Source organism: Homo sapiens, chromosome 6, assembly GCF_000001405.40.
Source record: "Homo sapiens chromosome 6, GRCh38.p14 Primary Assembly".
NCBI lineage: Eukaryota > Metazoa > Chordata > Mammalia > Primates > Hominidae > Homo > Homo sapiens.
In genome coordinates, this window is record NC_000006.12 from 127,136,254 (window position 1) to 127,151,073 (window position 14,820).

Sequence of the window (14,820 nt, forward strand, 5' to 3'; positions counted from 1 at the left end):
TGACTGAGGAGTTGCTTCACAGTCTCTTTATTTCCTTACTCCAAGATATGCCAAACTTTAAAAAGTTACAATAACCTGTTGCCCTAAAGTAAGATGGCTCATGACAAGGCACAATTTTAAAAAACAAACCAATTACACATGCCGTACTCTCATCAAACACAGTTATCCATTTCCTCATCAAACATATTCTATTCCTGGGAATGAGGAAGGTTCAAATCTGATCCTGAGCTGGAAAAGTATCATTTTGCCCATTATCAGCAATAACTTATATTAATATGATTTTGTACAGCATATAGACACTTTCTCATCGTCTTATTTGATTTTTTTCTCAACACCCTTTTGGAATGGGCAGAACAGGTGTTATCATACTCATTTCACAATTAAAGCTCAAAGATGGTAAGTGATTTGTATGGTATCACAAGGTTGGTAAGTTGCAAAACTTAGCCTCAAAGGTCTTGTAGGGGGATAGTTGTTTTGTTTTTCTACAGTTCTATGACTTTTCCCACACTACCACAGTTCTCATATATCTACCCTGAAGTTCCTACTATTAGTATAATTCCTTTGGATTTGACAAGAAAGGCATGTATATTAGAGGAAATCTTTATTATAGATGAGAGTCTTACTAGCTGACAATGTGAACTGGCAGATCTTTAACGTCCTGTCCCATTTGAATACCCATGAATGAGCTTATTGTGGGGAGAAGGAGATACCGAAGCAAGAGCATCAAGCATTGTTTGGCAAACTGTCTTCAGGAAAAAGCAGAAAACTTGCTGGGTATTCTCTATGGTAGTAGAACTTTCTGAGAGAAATGGTTGAGTTTTGATATAATGGGATGTTTATTAATAAATGTCATTATGGGCTGGGCACGGTGACTCATGCCTGTAATCCAGCACTTTGGGAGGCTGAGGCGGGTGGATCACTTGAGGTCAGGAGTTAAAGACCAGACTGGCCAAATGGTGAAACCACGTCTTTCCTAAAAATATAAAAATTAGTCAGCCATGTTGGTGTGAACCTGTAGTCCCAGCTACTTGGGAGGCTGAGGCAGGCGAATCTCTTGAACCCGGGAGGCAGAGGTTGCAGTGAGCGGAGTTGGTGCCACTACACTCCAACCTGGGTGACAGAGAGAGACTCCATCTCAATAAATAAATAAATAAATATCATTATAAGATAATTGTATGGGCTTTCCCCAAGTATCATGATATTTGTTTTACTAGACATAATCAAGTAGACTGTTACAGGAAAGCAGTTTGAACTAGATACCTCTAAAGTTCCCAAAGTTTATGATTCTATTGGCTGGAAGCTGACTATATGGATCTCAATATTCTCATCTGCAAATTTAAGGGAGAAGGAAGAGCTTCAAGAGCCCTTTAAATTCCATAGGTAAATTCACCATCCTTTCAGATATTATGTATGTATTCCTACATAAAGCATTTTGTTCATAACATTTTCCCTCCTTCCCCCTTTCCATTTGTCTCAGTTTTTCTTTTCCTTCAAGTTCCATAATCATTCCTATCTGTTCTCTGTAGTCTTTAGATATCTCAATTATCAATAATTGCTCCTGCCTTTTAATTTGCGGCAAAAAGTTTCTAATCTATACATTTATGGGTTTTAGAATATTAAAGTATTATCTTATTAATTGTATTGTAGGCTTCTTGAGTCAGAGACTATCTTTTGTCTCTCAGTATGATCAGTACCTAGAAGACTGCTTCCAGTAATCATTGAATAAACAATTATTTGTGAAGATAATAATAATGTAATACTGAAAGTGTGGTATTTATATCACCTTCGTCAGATTCACCTGGGATGCTTCTTATCAATGCAGTTACCTAAATCCACTGGATTCACTTCCAAATCAAAATATTTGGGAGTGGCATCTTACCTCATCATTGTAAACAAGTAATCCAGGCCATTTTTACACACAGTAAAGTTTTAGAATCTTTAGACCTTTGGTTTCTCTGTACCATATAGACCTTTGGTTTCTCGGTACCATATTGATATCATTTCTATGCCATATCTTACCTTTTTCAGTCTGTTTAAGTAGGTGTGTATCTTCAGTGAGCAGCTAGTGCCTCAGAGGTCTTCTTGACCCGGATGTCTGTGACTCCTATTAAAGTCTGTGTCTATGGTACTTAAAAAGTAGCCACTCTATGACTGTTAGTGAGTTTCTGGTTCCCCAAGCTTCTCACACCTCCTGTATTAGAAGCCTCAGTATGTATCCTCTTTTCTAAGAGTTATTATTGGATAAAGCTGCCAGCTGCTTCAAATATGGATGATGATAACACAGGATGAGTTTAGTGCCTCTTGAGTTAAACAAAGTGTCTTATACCTATGATTTTGATGATTGCCTAAGAGAGTCCTAGGCACTTTACACAGCATCTCACTTAATCCTCTCAAATACATATCAAGCAGATATTCTGGTGTTACAGATGAGGAAACCTAGGCTCAAAAAAGTTAAACAACTTTTGTCTAAATATATAATCAGACTGGAAATTCATTTACACAGATAATTGGTTATATTCATCTTTGTATGCTCACCTACTAGAACACTGTGTGGATGTTGAATAATTTAATTTTTTAAATGAATAACTGGATAAAAAATAAATATTGGTAACTCAGCTAGAAAACATGACAACTAGGGTTCAAAACCAGACTCTAAATGAGTGCAGATCCAGTACCTCTTCACCCTGTCCCTGTGCTCTTCTGGGAAGTGTGCAGGACCCATTTCTGAATGAGGTCACAATGCAGGGAGCCATGCACATAAGTATAAAGATGCATCATACTTACAAAGGTGCATGTATATTCTTCTTCAATTCCGTTAGCAATTGGAGCCATGCACATAAGTATAAAGATGCATCATACTTACAAAGGTGCATGTATATTCTTCTTCAATTCTGTTAGCAATTTTGTGAATCTAGGAAAAAAATCACTTATTTTCCTTGCTCAGAATTTTGTATGTGATACATAAAGCTGGAGTTTTTAAAAATGGTATACTCACTATTGGTACATCTTCTAGTGCTTGTTGAAATACCACAAGTCTCTCACTTGCTGTTTACTTATGCTAAGACCTCAGCCATCAGATATGCTACTTTAGCATGCTATGTAGCACAAATATCCAAGTTTATTCACAATATAACAAAGTGGAGTTTGTTTTTAGCACAAACTGAAGTTTGTTTCATTCAAGAATGTGAAGTTAGTAGTTATGGAGCACTCATGCGGATTCATTACCATTAAACTGTCACATTTTCTGTTTATGTTGATTTCTAATTATTTCTAACCTTAAAAAAAATATATCTTTTTTTTAAGGTTAGAAAAAAAATATTTCTAACCTTAAAAAAAAATTTCTAATTATTTCTAACCTTAAAAAAAAATGGAATGCTTCTCTCAGCCAGACCACAGCACATAATGATTCCCACTGTTGGATGAACACTGTTGGATCTGTCTTATGAAAAACGCTGTTATTACCTACTAACTCATCAATAGGTCCTGGCTCTACAGAATCTGGGTCTCATCACCCTCATCCACCCCCTCTTGTCCTCTATTCACCTCCACTTGGGAACATGGCCACTTGGAGAAGGGGAAGCTTTCCCTCTCTTAGCAACAGCTGGGGATGTTGATTCAGTACCTTACATTTTACACTCGTAGCAGAGTGCATTCACTTTACAAAGGATTTTTCTACTTGCGATTAGGAAAAAAAAACACCTCTTTATTTTTGGTTCTGTGAGTAGTTTGTAACAGTTTCAATAGCAGCATCAATTGTAGCTAGTCGGTTGGTCACAGGAAAGTTCATAGGGTTTTTACTACTTTTGAAGTATCCAATTTGAAATTAGTCCATAGATTTTTAATTCATTTAAGGAATTAAAGAACATAATATTAAGATACTAAAAGAAATATTAAATTAGAAGTAAAAAGCACAGTGTTGTTACTCTAAGTTATTTAGACTGTTTCAATATGCATTGCTAATGGTAACAATTTAGAAAAATACAAGAAAAGATTATATGCAAGACTGTAATTTTTTTGCTTTTTATTCTTTCTTTGTTCTTATGACCTTTCATGTATTTGATAACTTTTTTACTTCTCCCCACTTATTCCCACACACACACTTACACAGAATGAAAATTAAAATCCCAAAGCAAACTAAAATTACTGCTAGAGAAAGATGGGGAGGAACAGAGGAGAAACGAGATAGTCCCAAGAGCAAAACACATGTAGATTGATGCACAGCCTCTTCAAAGATTGGAATCTGGATGTAAATCCCCAAGTTTGTTGCTAGTTAGAACATTTTCATCTAATATACAAGTTAAAAAGAGAACATATCTTCATGGAATACAAGATGCTGGTTCTGTTCCAAGATCCATAAAATTAACACAAATTAAAGTAACTATATCAGACAAAATGTGTTGTTTCCTTTCCTTCTAATATTTACTTAGAAATGCAGAGGCTACATGTACTTAGGCTTTTTACTCTGGCCCTCAAGGGATGGGAGGATCTGGCTCCAACCACCCTTTGTAACTCATTTTATAGCACTCAACGCATTGCAGCCTCATTGGTACCTGTCATGTTGCTCCTTGTGCCCAGCTTCTCCCATGGCTTTATACTGTTTGCATTGCTGGTGCTCTACCTGAAATACTCTTCCTGGGTTTACATAATGACTCCTCCTTATTCTGCAGGCCTCGGCTAAGGAGTAGACTTAAAGGTTCTTCCCTGACATGTATTTAAGGAAGTTTCCCAGAGTTATTCTCTGCCTTATTCATCTGTTTGTTGCCTTAACAACACTCATTACAATCTTTAATCATTTGATTCCTTGTTTACTTACTTATTAACTGATGAACATCATGTCTTCAGGAACTGGATGTCTTATTCATTCCTGCCTTTCCTGCATCACATGAAATGTTGAGCACACTGTGGGTGAAATTTTTGTTGAAAACCTTAATCATAGTTTCCACAGTGTATCCATATACAGTGAAGCCTACTTGCATCTATCTTTCATTTCTAGTCCTGATTTTGGACTAGCTGTGGTTAGGCAAAGCATAGCCTTCAGTTACCAGGTTGGCTTTGAGCTCCCAAATATTCATCATATCTTAGATTTCATGAATTCTACAGCTAACATCATTTGCTAGCCATTTTCTTAATATTTTGGGCTGACTTGATTTTAGTGGAAAGCCTAGCTATTTGCTGCTTAATGTTAGGTTTGTTTTATTGCTGTGGCTTTATTTTAAAGTATTTATAGAATATAAATATTAGACTCCCTTCAGGAAATTATTATTCAGTAAGAGAAAAAGAAAGATTTTCCAAGTTCTCAAAGAAACCATTTCCATTAAAAACAGTATGTTTCCCCACATAATAATAATGGTGGCGCACCAACTGGGCTGTATTCAGCAGCTGGTGAAGACATTCCTCTCTGAGACTCTTAGGAATTCTGTCAACCTCTGGTGTAGGCACAGACTTTCAGATTAGATGTTGATTTAGTAGGATAAAAGATACAGTAGACTCTATTATCCTAGCTGTTAAAGTTCAATTAATGTATGTACTTTTGAGTTTGACGAAAGACCAATAGAATTTGTATGTAGGTGTGTGTGTGCATGCATGGGCATGCATGCGTGCATATATATATGTATATACACACATATATGTGTGTGTGTATCCATATACACATGCGCAGACATACAAACACATATGTGCACATATTTAAATATGTATATTTAAATAGCATAGGTGAATTTTAATTTACTTAATGGTTAAAACATTGGTATATTAAAACCCTAAAACCATCAGATGATAAACAGTATTTCAAAAATGGCAGGGTCTGTATATATTTGGACATATAAACATGTGGTTCTTTCAATAAGTTATCAATAAAAAATAATAATGAATAAACCTGTATTCACCCAAATATCATAGTTTGATAATCCAAAAGGAGTGTTGTATCCAAATAAGTAATTATATTTATTCAGAAAATCTTGTGTTCATATTTTGCTATCTATACCTAACTTTCTCAAGTTGCCTAAATGGTTGTGGAGACCTAGCCATTGTCGGCTCTACTTGCAAGCTTTAACACATGAACAAATGAGAAACACTGACTCTGAATATTTTCTTGGGTTGACTGGGCAGAATTTTAGAGAGACAGCCAAATAATTCAAATTTTTAACATTAGACTTTTCTTAAAGTGATCGTTGCCACCAGAGGAATCGGGAAACATCTCTTAATTTTCAATAAATGTAATATTACTCCAAACTTAAATGTGACTTCGTACTAATCAAGTCCCAAGATATGGTAGAAATGTGTTGTCCTAATTTAGGCAAGAAAAATCGCCACATTTTCTCTAAGGGAATGAATTACTGAAGTAAATGACACATAAGAAAACCATTATTACTTCACTTTGAATGATTGATTTCATAATTAAGCATTCAAAGTTTATGTAATTTGCAACATGATTTCTTTGCCAGATATTCATAGGCATAGCCCACTTAAATTGTTATAGATACTTTCTGTTAAACATTTACTACTTTAACATTTTTATTATTCTTTCTTTCTGGTTGTTTTTTTTGTTTGTTTGTTTGTTTGTTTTTGTTTTTGTTTTTTTTTAGACAAGGTATCTCTCTGTCATCCAGGCTGGAGTGCAATGGTACAGTCTTGGCTCACTGGAGCCTGGGCCTTCTGTGCTCAAGGATCCTCCCACCTCAGCCTCCTGAGTAGCTGAGACCACAGGCATGTGTCACCGTGCCCAGCTAATTTTTTTTTTTTTTTTGGTAGAAACAGGGTTTTGCTGTGTTGCCCAGGCTAGTCTCAAACTCCTTGGCTCAAGGAAAGTGCTGGGATTACAGTTGTGAGCCACTGTACCTAACAACATATTTATCATTTTTTAAAAAAATAGCTTTTTTATATGTATTGTGTTCATTCCTTCAATAATCAAAAACACTTTATTGAGAACCTATTCAATAAATAGCTTCCTTGAATAGAAGGTGGGAATTATCTCAAATTCCTGAATCTATAGAGGAAAAAAGAAGAAGAAATTATCAAACCATGAGACCTCTTCCCTCAGGAAGCGTACAGTCAATGTGAGCACACTTCTAAAAAGAGAAGGCATGGAAGAAAGGACAGATGTAAAAAAAACTTTGATTATAGAATTCAGTTGGTCTCTTCTCTCTACCCTGTCTCTTAAGGCCACTGCATACAGAAAAACAGGCAGTGAATGTTGTGCAGACAAGTATGCTTTGGAGAGATTTTATATATGATGTTTTTATTGTTGTTAAAAATAACTTAGATCAAATTTGTGAATTTATTAATTTTTAATTAGATTATAAAATCATTATTACTTTTATGTATCTGGCACTTCTTTTCAACTCAGTCAAACCTGTCTTATTAGTCTAAAGTCTACTAAAATTTACATTTCTGGAAATTAGCTACAAATAAATGATCATCAGCAGTAATTGGCAGCATGCAATAATGGATTTTTTTCACATAACAACTTACAATAGATGTTAGTACATTTGTAACTGAGCTTTAGAAGTGAATTAACGTAAAGCAAATGCTTGAAGCTTGCATTTAAATTGTCACAGAAACAGAATTTAGTTCCCAATACTGTATTAGTTGATACATCATAAACATTGAAAACAAGTAGCCAAAGGTTGTATATTGACCAAGTGTTTTGGTTCCATTTAAAATTCTGTATTCTGGATATTTTATCAAAGTTGAATTAACTCTTATGATAATAGCAAGTCTCTTAGGAATGGTTGCATCAGTTATGTATCACAAGTTAAAGGTTATCAAATAGTAGGAAGCCTTCTTAACAGATAGTGAAATTGAAGTTTTTTACTCAGGGAATGTTGACAGTTCAGACACTGAAAGTAGGTTTAAGTTATGTATCAGTGTACACCCTTTTTGTACAACTAACCATAATAAACAAGTTAAGAAATAATAGTTCCCTCTTTCTTAATTCTAAAGATAGACATATTAATTTCACTGTGTATGTGACACATTTTTAGTAGAAAGTCCCAATTTAAAGTTTCCATGAATTCTGCCCATTTTCCCACTCATATCTACCCCCATTACACATCTAAAGTTTACTTATATATAAAGATATAGTTACCAGATATCAAAGATCTCTATTTTCACCTCTGATCTAAACTCACTATTTTTCCAGCAGGCTATTCCTTTGAGTTCAAGTTTGAAGTTTCAAAATAAATGATTATGATAGCTTCTACTTACTTGTATCATAAGGCAATTACCACAGTTAATTTAGCTTTTGAATATGCTCTGAAAGCAACAGTGAGTGACCTAGAAATTCAAAGTATTGTTTAAAGCTGCTTATAATACATTTTGTTCTCTTACCAAATGTCCCCTATTTTGCATGATGTCTTCTTTTTCTGTAATTTTTCAGTAGCTTCCCCTTGTTTTTTTTTTTTTCAGACAGAGTCTCACTCTGTCACCCAGGCTGGAGTGGAATGGTGCAATCTGCGCTCACTTTAACCTCCAACTCCCAGGCTCAAGCAGTTACGGTAGCTGGGATTACAGACGTGCACCACCACACTGGGCTAATTTTTGTATTGTTAGTAGAGACGGAGTTTCACCATGTTAGCCAGGCTGGTCTCAAACTCCTGGCCTCATGTGATCAGCCCACCTTGGCCTCCCAAAATGCTGGGATTAGAGGCGTGAGCCACCGTGCCAGGCCCAGTAGCTCCCATGGCTTTTCTAATTAAGTAGCCACCATCAGAGACTCATGTGTGCATCTCCAACAGCCACTCCAAAGTAAGCTCCATCTATTAAGCATCACTCTCTGGATATTTCATAAAATCTGCAAAATTAATGATTCCAAGCCAGGTTTATCTTTTTAAACGTCAGTATTCTATGCACCATGCCCTACTCTCCAACTGCAGGCTTTTACTCCCCTGGTAGCCCCTCCCCTCTCTATTCACTGGCTGGACCTAGAAACCCACCTTTTCAAATCCTCTTTCTTGTTCAGCCTACATGCCATTGGCCACTATATTTGGTTGGTACCACCTCCTAAATATCCTTGAAACATGCATCCCTTCCTCACTACATTATATTGCCTCTGCCGTACTTTAAGTTATCATCAGCCTCTTACCTTGACTACTACATTATTCTTCTCCTAGTTTGCATGCCTGCCACACTGCCAGGGAAATTTCCTTTCCAATTCAAATCTTAAATTTCAATCACTGGTGTGATTGAAACACCCTATGTTTACAGAAGAATTTCATTGGCCTATCTCACAAAAGTTTCTGTAATCTAGATCTATTTTATACTTCCAATCTTCTTGTTATTCCTTATATCTTCATTCCCCACTACTTATGCACCAGTTGCATCAAACTCATGCCAGTCTCCTTCCCAGCTTGGGTCACTGTAGTGTTTCCTTCTCTAGCCAAACATGGCCACTTACATACTCATAAACTCCAACTCATTTTCTAAGATTAAGTTCAAACACTGAGATTCTGTGAAACTTTCCCTACCTCTCCACCAACAACTTCAAATAATAGTAGGAAAATATTGTTTGAAAAAGGTGATTTAGAAATTCAAAATGAAGTTAATATTGAATGGGGAATAAAAAGAAAGACACATGAGAAAGTAAAATTCTATTTTCTGTCTCAGAATCACAAGATTTTATGGCTGAAAGTGTTGTTACAGTCAATATAGACCAAAGTTTTTTGTGGTTTCCATATAAAAAGTAAAATCTCTTGCCTTAAAATGAAGTTTGGGAAATTTGTACTTAGTTGTGTAATACTGACTGTGTAATTTGTATGATCCTTATACGGCATTCAAGAAAGCTGTCACTACACTACATAACCATAAAAAAAATCTAGACTCATTGAATCTGAGCTTCATAGTCTTCATTTCTCTCTCTTCCCACAGCCAGCATTTAAACCTTCCTGAAGAAATAAGGTTTGCCATCATTTGATATTCAAAATTCATTGCCATATTCAAAATTCACTGATTAAAACATAAAATTTTATTGCAAGTTGGGACAACTAGGTCTTTCTTGCTTTTTCAAAAATCAAATTTTTAAAAACCCTTGCCTAGGAAGTCATTATATGAAAAAAAAAAGGTAAAAAGAATTATTGTAGCACAATGTTGACTGTGCTCCATTTCATCAGTAAAAGTTTTAGAGACAGAGGGAATCAAGCAAGGTATTTTGGCACATCTCATAATTTCAGTGGATACAGTTACAATCATGAGACTTATTCAAAGCTCTCTCCTGAAGAACATTCCAAACATTCAAAACCTAGTTTTTAAAATAAAATTTATCTTAAGGAATGTCAGTTTTTGAAGCTCTGAATATGTAAATCATGTTTATATTAATAATTGATATATTTAAAATTATATCATAATTGGCAAAAGTTTCAGAATACATAAAATTAGAATTTTGTGTTTTCTTTCAGCAGCCACATTTCAGAGATAGGGATGGATTGGCATGGACCAATATGGTCCATCTTTCTTAAACCCAGAGTCTCTTAGTGCCCTGAGTTTGAAGCACTTTTCTTTCAAGTTGAGGTCCACTCTTCTATAGACAATTCTATGAAAAGGTCTTACAAGTTTTTATCTACACCTCTCGCTTCTTGAAATGGATAATGATAGATTCCAAACACATGGAAATCTCTTGCCCCTTTTACTTTTTAGGATCTTTGCAAGCTTACAATATGTACACGTTTTCTGTAAGTCACCAATGCTGAGTTACTGGCATGAAAAATGACCCTGTTACTTGGAAAGTAGTTTCACTTACAAGTCCCCCAGGCCCTGTAATGTCTAAACCTCCTGTGCCACTTTATGTGACTACCCCGCCCCCACAGAGGAGCATGCACAGGAAAAGCAGACTTCCCTTCCCCCACACATTTCCTTAGTTTATTTACAAAACGTCTTGGAATGAGAATGAGCTGCTTGTGGTTCCTGTGGCTGATTCAGGGATGGTTTCCTACAGGCAGAGGATGCTGGTCAACCGAATGACCTCTCTGTAACTAACCCGTGCACCCCTGTGGTAAGGCTGTTTGGTCTTATAGGTACCTCTTCTAACTAAGCTTGGAGGGATTTGTTTTTGTGGTAAAGAACTTAGTAATAACCAAACGTCACTGTAAAGACAGATTTAATAATGTTAAGGTCCATCAGAGCCTACTCCTTCTACTACCAACAAGAGAAGCCAGAAATACACTGGGATGCCTTTAGATTCCTGTGCATCAATCTTTCTTTCTCTAAGGATTATGGTTTTTTTTTCTTCTGGCATCTTCAAAGGACAATAAAGCTATTAGCAATATATTTGAGTGGAGAACACATTAGGAAAAGAAATCATCCTAAACACCAGCTATATGAGAAACATCCGTTAGTCAGTAGTTTTTACCAGCTCATGCAGAGGTGATGATGACTATTTAATAGTCAAAAGAAGATTTAAAGTTGTGATGATCTTAAGCAAACATGAGTCTCCCAAATATTCATTTCTGTTTGTTCAGACTTGCTAATGAACACTCTTAACTCACACACTGGTAACTCTTGGAAACCCTGGAATATGTGTAACAGTGATTCTTAAGGTAGACTGGTCCATTCTCACCAAATATACATTTCACTCGAGTAAGTAGAAGATAAGGGCACAGAAACTGTAAGACTCCAGTTCCAAAAGAGAAAATATTGAACATAAATTACCATAAGTAGTCATATATGATCCACATGGAAACACTGGTGAGATAAGCATCACATTTTCACCATTATATCTATTTGAACTGGCAATTATTAAGCTCGTGTGAGAAGAAATATTTAATGAAGGAATTCTGGGGAGCTCAACAGCTAACATAGCTTCAGCATCAGTTTGCATTGGATCAAAAAGTAAAATTGTGTTCTCTAATACACCATAGTTCAAAACAGATATAAAACTTAGTGTCCTTACTCAAGTTAAGCCCTAATGTACATTATTTTACTTACTGAAGAAATTAGAAACATATGCTTATCCTCCATTACATAAATGAAAAGCAAAGCAAATGTGTATTAATTTCACTGTGTAAATGAGCACAAAATTACCAGTCCCCAATCTCCCAGGGTGCTAGTTCAGTGAGGATATTATATATATGAAGAGAATATATATAATTAGTTATACATAATTTAAAAATATATATTATATGATAAAGAGACTATGTATACACACACATATATAAGTCCTTTGAGGCAGTATATTCTTTATTTTTCAAATGCTCAATTTTAAGAACTTTGAAATTAAAAACAATACATGTGCTAAAGGGAAATAAAAGATCATAAAAAAAGATAGGAAAAAAAATCCCACCTCATTCACCCATTACCAACAAATTGAAAGCTAATGAAAGAGAACATATATCCTGCCCAGAAAATGTCATTTTTTTATCTGTGATTTAACCTTTGTAATGTCTTTCTACATTTGTCTCCACAGTGCATCCTAACGTTAGTCAAGGCTGCCAAGGAGGCTGTGCAACATGCTCAGATTACAATGGATGTTTGTCATGTAAGCCCAGACTATTTTTTGCTCTGGAAAGAATTGGCATGAAGCAGATTGGAGTATGTCTCTCTTCATGTCCAAGTGGATATTATGGAACTCGATATCCAGATATAAATAAGTGTACAAGTAAGTGCCCACACGAAATTGTATTTTTATCTCATCTTTGGTGACTTTTCCAGATTGAAATGGCCTCTAATATATTTGTGATATTCAATGTTAAGTAAATGATAATGTTTATCTGATAATTAGGCTAAACCATACTTGGACTTAACCCTCAGAACCAGAAAATTTTTATCACTAACTTACAAAAAAGCACTCATGTTTTGGTTTTCTTTTTAATTATGAAAGCAAAGGCTGGGAATATGATTATTGCTCATTGAACCTATAGAAAAGTACTGCAAGCCTCAATTCCATCTGAGTTTCCATTATCAACACAAAATCCAAGTATTGACTAACTTGCCAAATCATTTCAGCTATTTTGACTTCAAGAGAGATTCCAGAGCAACTGAAACATTTATTTATCAATTGGAAATAAATATTGGGAGTACTGTCATCTGGAACCTGAAAACCTGTTTTTCACACTGCAGACCCAGGGACCTTTCTCAAAAATGTAAATTAGGAAATACCACTCTATTCAAATACCATATGTAGTTCCTCCAAACTCATCTCCTACAACTCCCCCTCACCCATTTTGCACCAGCCTCACTTCCCTTCTCATAAGATCTTCCCACCTCAAGCCTTTGCAATTGTGTTCTACACTGGCTGTTCTAGCAGTTGGAAAGCTTTTTGTCCACATCTTTGCATAGCTGGCTGTCTTATATCATTGATGATTTTGCTCATATGTCACCTTCTCAGAGAGACATTCCATGATCATCCTATCCAAAATAATCAGCCTGTTCCCCTTGTCAACCACCCTCCATCTCTTTTTCCCACCATTTGCTGTTGTTTTTTTGTTTTGTTTTCCAGAGCACTTATCACTCTGGAACTAGACTGCCTGGTTTCAAAAAGCAGTCTGATCTGTTGTCCTGGGTTAGTTTTATAACTTTTGTGAGCCTCAGTTTCCTTATATGTAAAATGAAATTATACCAATGACTACCTCATTGGATTGTTGTAAACTTTAAATAACTTAATAATATTGTAAAGCATTATAGCAATCCTGGCTTACAGTAATCACCACATAAGGGTGAACTATTGTTATTGTTTACTGTATCTCCTCTCCTAGGATGTAAACTTTCTGAAGCCTGACTCTTACCCCTCTTGTGCATTGCTGTCAACCAATATAAAAAACAATGCCTGGCACATAGTAGGCAATCAAATATTTGTTGTAAGAATCAATAGCCCTCAAGAACAACACAAAGATAATATCCTTTGTATGTTTTCTTAAGGTTCTGATGAAACATTTTCACTATCACTTAATATAAACAGATACTTCATCTTATAAATATTCTTGGAGATATATATATATATATATATACACACACACAAAGATTTTTTCATAGGGCAATCAGTACAATGATTTTAAAATCAATAACCAATGTACCTCAACTAAATCACTGTGGAGGAATCGTGAATTCAGTCTGGCAAAATAATTTTGGACTTCAGGTGTTTATTTGATACTAAAGTTGTGTGTGGCTGTGTCTGACACATGTAGAACTGGACCAATAGTTAAGAGAACATAATGCAAGCATATTTCTTTCTTTTTTCTCTTTCAGAATGCAAAGCTGACTGTGATACCTGTTTCAACAAAAATTTCTGCACAAAATGTAAAAGTGGATTTTACTTACACCTTGGAAAGTGCCTTGACAATTGCCCAGAAGGGTTGGAAGCCAACAACCATACTATGGAGTGTGTCAGTATTGGTAAGGAGAACCTGTAATAATTTGAGTAAGTGATAATGTCAGTCTCCATGGAGGTGCTTTTCAAAGTCCTTTGCCAAAAGAACTTGAAGGTTCTTGGGCTGAGATCTCTTAAAGGCTGTCTCCATCCTTCTTTACAAAGATACTCTCTTAAAGGTGTTTTTCATAACCTTATCTAGTATGTATTATGGTACAATTTAATACAGTAGGTGCTTCCTTATTTCTTAGGGACTATTGATAATCGTTTCAACCATTCTGTTTATGATAGATTTATTTTTATTATTTAGTGAATTTTTATTTAATTATTTAATGAATTTTATTTAAGTAAACATTCAGCCAAGACACACATATGTATATCTGACAGTGATCTGTTATGTGACATACATATATGTCTTGAACTTAATTTTTACCTTAGAGCAACAGTTTCATAAAACACCTAGGTCTAATCTCAACTAATGACCAAAGTTATTTTCCAAGGTGGGAACATATATTCTCTTGACACAG

The 14,820-nt window shown here is 35.3% G+C and overlaps 1 protein-coding gene and 1 long non-coding RNA gene across 9 annotated transcripts in view; one reads left to right on the top strand and one right to left on the bottom strand.

The window, feature by feature from the left end:
• LOC105377989 (uncharacterized) overlaps positions 1-14,820 on the bottom strand; it is a 347,578-nt gene that overhangs the window by 270,987 nt on the left and 61,771 nt on the right. The window lies entirely within an intron of this gene.
• The window catches only part of RSPO3 (R-spondin 3), an 80,811-nt gene that overhangs the window by 17,583 nt on the left and 48,408 nt on the right, over positions 1-14,820 (top strand). For both annotated transcript variants that reach the window (NM_032784.5, XM_017011378.1), the window contains exons 2-3: positions 12,395-12,586; positions 14,173-14,319. In NM_032784.5, the coding sequence (NP_116173.2) occupies positions 12,395-12,586; positions 14,173-14,319 (339 nt within the window). The remainder of the gene's footprint in view (positions 1-12,394; positions 12,587-14,172; positions 14,320-14,820) is intronic.